We start from the raw sequence: 8944 nt of genomic DNA, 5'->3' as shown, positions 1-8944 counted from the left end.
TATTTTTTTATTATTTAAATATTTCATTGTATTTTAAGTTCTAGGATGCAAGTGCAGGATGTGCACGTTTGTCACACAGGTAAATGTGTGCCATAGTGGTTTGCTGCACCTATCAAACCATCACCTAGGTATTAAGCCCCACATGCATTAGCTATTTATCCTGATGCTCTCTTTGCCCTCGCCCTGCTGACAGGCCCCAGTGTGTGTTGTTCCCCTCCCTGTGTCCATGTGTTCTCATTGTTCAGCTCCCACTTGTAAGTGAGAACATTCAGTGTTTGTTTGGTTTTCTGTTCCTGTGTTAGTTTGCTGAGGATAATGGCTTAAAGCCCCATCCATGTCCATGCAAAGGACATGATCTTATTCCTTTTTATGACTGCATAGTATTCCATGGTGTATATGAATCACATTTTCTTGATCCAGTCTATCACTGATGGACATTTGGGTTGATTCCATGTTTTTGCTAATGTGAATAGTGCTGGAATTAACATATGTGTTCATGTGTCTTTATAACAGAATCATTTATATTCCTTTGGGTATATTCCCAGTAACGGGATTGCTGGGTCAAATGGTATTTCTGGTTCTAGGTCTTTGAGGAATTGCCACACTGTCTTCCCCAATGGTTGACCTAATTTACATTCCCACCAACAGTGTAAAAGCGTTCTTATTTCTCCACAGCCTTTCCAGCATATGTTGTTTCCTGCAGCCATCACTGGAGCTCCAGTCTGCCATTTTTCCCCTGTGGGTGCCGGGGAGACTGGACAGTTTGGAGGAATTCCCCACAGCGCAGCGCAGCACAGCACAGTGACACACTATTGCTAGACTGCCTCTTTAGTGTTTATTGTCTGGTAACTATTATCATTGTCATTACTATTGAGATGTTTGAGATGTGCTAAATTGATACTAAATGAGTATATAAGCTCTTACGGTGAGTGACATAGTGAATGTTTAGTAGCGTCTACTGCCAGTGTGGTGGTGGTAGAAGAGGATTAAAAATAACAATGGAGGTGTTTCATTTATTTAAATACTTTCAGATCAAACTTTTCCAATCTTCCTATAATGCACAGAATTTGAGGACATTATCACCTATTCCTAGATGCGCTGGAACAGCCCACAAGCTTTTAATTTTTTAGGAGAACCTTGGTAGAAATTATTTGGGTCCACCTCTGAGTGAATATCTGTGGCCTTCTGGTCAGGCACCTGTCCTTTTTAGGCCCCTCACATTTCATAGTGGTTGTTAATCTCACCTTCTGTTTCATTGATTGTTGTAGCATATGGCTTAGCACAAACTGGCAGCACAAAATAGCTGCATTCCAAATATTTGTTAGGAAGTGTGACCTTGACAGTGATGACTGATAAAAGTTGGATTAAAAGAACATTTTGATCAGATCTTTTTTAGTGACATGTTTAAATCTCTCCCTGGATAAATCAAAGAATCAGAGTTTTTAAAATTTTATGATGAGATTTTATTTACTCCTTTTCCCTACATCCATATAGGTTTTTTAAAATTAATTGAGCTATGAGTTTTTGAAATTTATTTATATATTTACTTTTAAATTGTTGTTGAAGATAGATAGCATTCAGTACATTGTGAATTTTTTAACAAAAATTTTCTCTGTGGTTTCTGTACCTGGAATATTTGAAATACTTTGAGCCACAGTTTGTCTACAACTCATGAACACCGTAAATCTGGTATTTGGGCCATGCTGCATTTTTAATTCTGATTGCTAAAAATATTCAAATCATTTTTTTACCATCTTCCCCTTTCATAAATGTATAGACACTTATTATATGCATTTTGTATGATATGTTAACATTACTTCTGGCATTATGTTAACCTGAATAAATTAGTCTTTTACATTTTTATTTTTCTTGTATTTTTAATTTTACAATATTTTGGTGACCTATAAAGACAATATATTCAAGGATATCATGTGAAGATATATATATATATATATATATATATATACACACACACACACACACACACACATTGTGTAATGATTACCACAATCAAATTAATTAACACATCTATCACCACCCATGCTGTTCATTAGATCCTCAGGATTCATTCATCTTATAACTGAAAGTTATACCCTTTAACCAACATTACCCTGTTTCCCTCAATCCATAGACACTGACAACCCCACTCTACTCTCTGCTTCTCTGAGTTTGACTTCTTCAGATACACATAAAAGTGAGATCATACCAATTTACTATTTAATACTTATTAAGTATGATGTATGTACAGAAACATAACTCATAAATGTATAACTTAATTAATTAGCACACTGGGAACATGCCTGTGGAATGGCACTCAGAATGAGAACTGGGACAGTACCAGCAGTGCAGATGCTCCCAGAATCTCCCTTAATCCATACCACTCTCTTCTTAAAGTCAATCAATCAATCAATATCTTGATTTTTAACATCATAATTAACAGAGAGCATATGAATGGAACTTTATGGTCTATAACTCCATATTATGTTTATATTATTCTTCCGTGCTATTGTATGTAGCAGTGGATTTACTTTTATTACTATAAAAATATATTTTTAAAAAACTCTTCACATCTGCAGATATCAGATCTTTGACAAAGTTGAGAAAAATAAGCAATGGAGAAAGGACACACTTTGCAATAAATGGTGTTGGGATAGATGGCTAGTCACATGCAGAAAAATGAAACTGGGCCCTAACTTTTACTATATACAAAAATTCACTCAAGATGTATTAAAGATTTAAATCTAAGACCTAAAATTACAAGAATCCCAGAAGAAAACCTAGGAAACACCATCCTGGACATTGTCTTTGGGAAAGAATTTATGACTAAGTCCTCAAAAGCAATGAGAACAAATATAAAAATTGACAAGTGAGACCTAATAAAACCAAGGAAATTCTGTACAGCAGAAGAAACTATCAATACAGTAAAAAAACAACCTACAGAATAGGAGAAATATTGTATTAGGCCATTCTAACATTGCTATAAACAAATACTTGACACAATAATTTACAAAGAAAAGAGGTTTAATTGGTCATGGTTCTTCAAGCTTTACAGGGAGCATAATGCTGACATAGCCGTAGCTTCCGAGATGGCTTCAGAAAGCTTGCAATCATAGCAGAAGGCAAAAGGGGAACAAGTGTATCACGTGGTGAAAGCGGGAGCAAGAGAGGCAGAGTGGGAGGTGACGCACACATTTAAACAACCATATCTTGTGAGAATTCACTCAGTATTGTGGGGGCAACACCAAGTGGATGGTGCCTAACCATTCATGAGAAACTCAACCCCATGATCCAGTCACCTCCAACCTGGCCCCAGCCCCAATGCTGGGGAATAGAATTCAACATGAGATTTGAGTGAGTACACATATCTAAACTGCATCAAATATTCACAAACTATGCTTTCTACAAAAGTCTAATATCCAGAGTCTATAAGGAACTTAAATGTTGAATAAGCAAAATACAAATATCCCATTAAAAAATGAGCAAAAGACATGAAGAGACACTTCTTAAGAGAAGACATACAAGCAGGCAACAAACATATGAAAAAGGGCTCTTCATCACTAATCATCAGAGAAATGAAATCAAAACCACAATGAGATACCATCTCACATGTGTCAGATGGCTATTACTAAAAAGTTGAAAAACAACAGATGCCGGTGAGGTGGAGAAAAGGGAATTCTTATACACTGCTGGTGGGAATGTAAATTAGTTCAGGCACTGTGGAAAGCAGTTTGAAGATTTCTCAAAGAACGTAAAACAGAACTACCTTTTGACTTAGCAACCTTATTACGGGGTATATACCCAAAATAAAATAAGTCATTCTACCAAAAATACAAATGCACTTGTATGTTCATTGCAGCACTATTCACAATAGCAAAGACATGGAGCCAACATAGGTGCCCATCAATGGTGGATTGGATGAAGAAAACATGGTACATATACAACATGGAAGGCTGCGCAGCCATAAAAAAGAAAAAAATCATATCATTTGGAGCAACATGGATGCAGCTGGAGGCTATTATCCAAACAAAATAACACAGGAACAGAAAACTAGATACCGCATGTTCTCACTTATAAGTGACGTGGAGACACGTGTTTGTAGAGACAGCAACAATAGAAGCTGGTGACTACTAGAGAGAGGAAGCAGGGAAAAGAAGAAGGGTTGAAAAACTATTGAGTACTATGCTCAGTACCTGGATGATGGAATCAATCATACTCCAAACCTCAGCCTCATGCAGTATACCCAGGTAACAAACCTGCACATATACCCCATGAATCTAAAATAAAAATTGAAACTATAAAATAAAATGAAATATTAATCAGTGTACAGTTATTTAATACTTTCCATCTGGACAATAAAAGGACATTAAATCATGAATCTATTTACAGTCTGCAAATTTTTTAAAATGGAAAATATATTTGTATAAAAATATTGGGATATTTAGACAGGCCTCGAGTGGACAAGCTAATGAAATTTTATAACCTGAAGACACCTCTGTATGCATTTTTAGATTGAAAAACACAACATTGTCAGTCTCTCCACATCAGACACTTTTGCCTTTTCCAAGCACTACTATGGTATAGATCATCTGTACTTTTCAGCTCTTTTGTAGTTTATATATATAGAATCATATAGTATGAATATTGTGTATGTAGATTTAAAATTCCATATGTTTGGAAATTTGTCTGTATCTTTGCATGCTGTTGTGGTTAATTCATTAGAATTGGTGATAGAATTCTATCATCTGAACATCAAACAATTAATTTAGTTATTTCACTGCAAATGCACATATTAGTGGTATTTATTTGGGGGCTTTTAGAAGTACTGATTGTATGTAAATTTTATTTTACTGACATATAGGAAAATTTATTTTGAGTGAATACGTAGTAATCAAATTGTTGGATCACAGGTTTACATTTTGAATAATTTTTTACACTGCAAAAATAAATAAATAATGAATAGATAAGAAAATAAAAAAATAAAAACTCAAACCCGTATTCATTCTTCCATTAAAAGAACATGAGCTCATACATCTTTCTGTTGAACTAGCCCTTATATCATCATATGTTACACCATATCTCTAATAATATGTTTTACTTTAAAGTTTGCTCTTTTGGACAGCTTTTTAAAATTAATCTTTGCATAATATATATTTTCTATACTTTTATTTCAGCCTATCTGTAATCTTCTTATAATCAACATATTTATGCCAACTTTTCCTGAACATTTCATATTTTAATTAGTGCTTTAGTCCATTCAATAATTGTATTTATCTCTAATATCTTACTATTTGTTTACTGTTTTCCCAACTATCCTTCCTTTACTCCTCCCTTTATTGCTATTTTTGTATTATTTTATGTAGTATTTTATTTTTCTTCTCTACACAACTTTTTATAGCCATTGATTCATCAAGTCTGACATATTAGTACTTGGTTCACATCATGAACAATGCAAAGATATTGAAACTCAATTACATTTGATACTTTTCCATATTTTGTGCTGTAATTTTTATAGATCTTAACTATCTGTTTTAAGCTAGATAGATACAATAGTATGTTATTTTCACTTAGCCATTTATTTACTTTTAAAATTCAATTATCTTTATCCTTTTCTGAATACTCATGTTTTCACTTGGAAATATTGTTTCTATGACCGCAGTTTAGTGTTCTCTTTAATGTGTGTTCATGGGTGATAGATTTTCTCAATTTTTTGTTTGCCTAAAACAGTCTCTATTTTGCCTTAATTTATAAAGGATAATTTTTGCTGTATGTAGAAGTCCATATTGAAAGTTATTTTCTTTCTGCAGTTAAAGCTATAATTCTATTTTGGTTTCCACTGTTTCTTTTGAGAAATTACCTGTCAGTATTAATACTCTTCTTTTGAAGGTTTATGTTCTTATCCTTCAGACTCCTTTTAAAATTGTCTCTTTGTCTTTGGTTTTCAGTAGCCTGATTATGAGGTGTCTAGGTATATTTTAATGCCTATGTGTATTTGTAGGTGGATTTAGACTTGGTGTTCATATTCTTTCTGAATGTCTCTTGTCAGCTTTGGAAAATTCTCAGCCATTATACATTTAAAAAGTGCTCTGTCCCTTTCTATACCTCCTCTATTTCTGACTGTCAAGCTACATGTATTTAATTCTTTACACCTGTCTCTGTGTGTCTTATTCTTTTTTCCTATTGTCCATCATTTAATTTCAGTAATTTTGAGTTTAGTTCTAAACTTCCATTTATTTAAAATTTCTATTTATTTATTTAATTCTCCATCCTATCATTTAATTTCGTAAACATAGTAATTGTTGTTAGTTTAAATTCCATGTCTGATAACTACAAGATCTGTATCTGTTTTTGACCTTTCTCCATGTTACTCTTTTCTCTTGATTTTCATCCAAGTTTTATCATTTTTCATGTCTAGTTATTTTGATTTACTTGTGGATGTTATGTATAAAAAATTGTAGAGACAACTTGGGACCTTGTTTAATGCCATCTTCTCTATAATATTTACTTTGGTTCCCAATCTTTTTCCAGTTATAGATTGAGATGATGCAAAGCTCGACTTTAGTCTTTGTGAGGGCTGGTCTATTTCCATTTTATCTCATACTCAGGTGTGGCCCTTTGAAGGTTTCAAATGCAAACCTTGGATGTTTCCCAGAGCTCCTTCTCCTTGGTAGACTCTATGTACACTTTTCCTTTCATGCAGACCTATGCAAGTTCAAAAAGTAATAATTATGCTTTTGGACTCTTAACTTATTTGCTGCCACTATTGAATCTTTGAATCCTTTAATGGAAAAAGCAATGTCTAATGTTGGGCTCAACTCCCTGGGCTCTGCTGTGCTGTGTAAGGTCTTGACCCTTACCTCTCTAATGCCTCTTCAAACAGGCAAGGGGGTGTGTGTGTGTGTATGTGTTACATTTTGTCTACATTTTTCTTTTTTTTTTTTTTTTGAGGTGGAGTTTTGCTCTTGTTGCCCAGGTTGGAGTGCAATGGCATGATCTCAACTAACTGCAACCTCCGCTATCTGGGTTCAAGCAATTCTCCTGCTTCAGCCTCCTGAGTAACTGGGATTACAGGCATGCACCATCATGCCTGGCTAATTTTTGTATTTTCAGGTGAAACGGGGTTTCACCATGTTCGTTAGGCTGGTCTTGAACTCCTGACCTCAGGTGATCCACCTGCCTCGGCCTCCCAAAGTGCTGCGATTACAGGTGTGAGCCACCCCGCCCAGCCTTGTCTACATTTTTCTAAGTTGGTCTCAGTAGGAAGATAAGTCAGAAACTTACAAATCCATTATTCCTAGCAGATGCAGATATCAACTCATTTTCACACACCTAAAATTTATTAGTTTTTGTAAGCTTCCTAAAATCTTTTTGCAATATTACTAGCTTTTTGCCTATCTTGGTTATGTGCACACTTTAACAAATCTAATTATAAAATCTCTTTCTTGAATGAGAATGGAGAAGCAAAATAATGGTCCTACATTTGTATTCTCTCTGCACTAAGCAATGGCTTGTCTCTTTCTTGGTTTTCTTCTGTCTCTGTTCCTAAAATAAACATCTGCTGGATAAAAACTCCAGGCTTTCATTATGTTTTGCCTCTGTGAGTTTTCCCTTAGATTATCTGCCCATTTGCTACTTTCCTTTTTCTTCCTGTGAGTAATAGCATCTATCACTTCTCTTCTAATTTCTTACTGTCTCCTGTTTTGGATTATTACTTCTCCAGTTTACTTTATTACTGAGAAGCATTTTCTTATGCTCTATTTCTCTAAAACAATTGTGCAATTACTTTGATAAATTTTAGTTTAAAAAAATAATAACCACAAAAATAGAGGTCACTAAAAATATACCTAAGAAGTATTATAAGGATTTTGTAAAGTAATCAAGTTGTCCCTGAACTTTATTAAAATATAAGTCTAATTTGACCTTGGAATAAGCCTTCTTAGACTGTTTTTTTTCCCTCCTCAGTTTCTGTAGATATTTATAAGTTATTCTTATAAAATAGTTTCTCATTTTATTCTGGAATTAGAACACCTGAATCTTTTCATGATTTTTAATGGAAGTATGTCTTGTATATAGGCTGTCATTTTTGAGGTCCTTTCTTGCACAATGAAATCAAGAACTTTCAATTACATCTTAAATTAAGCTGAGGTTTTAATCTCAATTTCAGTCCTGACAATGAAATAAATGACAACTTGAATTTTTGTCTCGCTGTGTCGCCCAGGCTGGAGTGCTGTGGCGCGATCTCTGCTCACTGCAAGCTCTGCCTTCCAGGTTCATGCTATTCTCCTGCCTCAGCCTCCCGAGTAGCTGGGACTACAGGAGCCCGTCACCACGCCCAGCTAATTTGTTTTTTTTTTTTTTTTTTTTTTTTTTTTTTTGTATTTTTAGTAGAAACGGGGTTTCACCGTGTTAGCCAGGATGGTCTCGATCTCCTAACCTCATGATCAGCCCACCTGCTGGGATTACAGGTGTGAGCCACCACGCCTGGCCACAACTTGAGTTCTTTATATGGAAATCTGTTCTTAGCATTTGTAATAAACTTCAGTTACTTTGTTACTACAATCCTGTCCAAATTTGTACAGTTTTATATAACCAATCATTTCTATTCTAGTTAGCTGTTCCTAAGTGACATCTTCTGAATTTGACCTCTTATGGTAAACTTGAAAATTGCTGAAAGTAGATTTTAAATGTTCTCATCACAAAATAGTGGCAATTATGTGAGGTGATGGATAGGTTAATTAGTTTTATTTAATCATTTCACAATGGACACATATATTAAAACCATATTCCACACTATTAATATATAGAATTCTGCATTTGTCAACTAAAAATTAATAATACTTTTTTAGAAAGCTGAGCTTGCCAGGACATTCCATGCAGAAGTCTGATAATCTATATTATATTGATGTCCACTTCTCTTCTCCTTCCTTGACAGGATTTGTGAATATTC

This window comes from Homo sapiens, chromosome 2 (assembly GCF_000001405.40).
Source record: "Homo sapiens chromosome 2, GRCh38.p14 Primary Assembly".
Taxonomy (NCBI): Eukaryota; Metazoa; Chordata; class Mammalia; order Primates; family Hominidae; genus Homo; species Homo sapiens.
Note: the sequence above shows the minus strand (reverse complement) of the source record.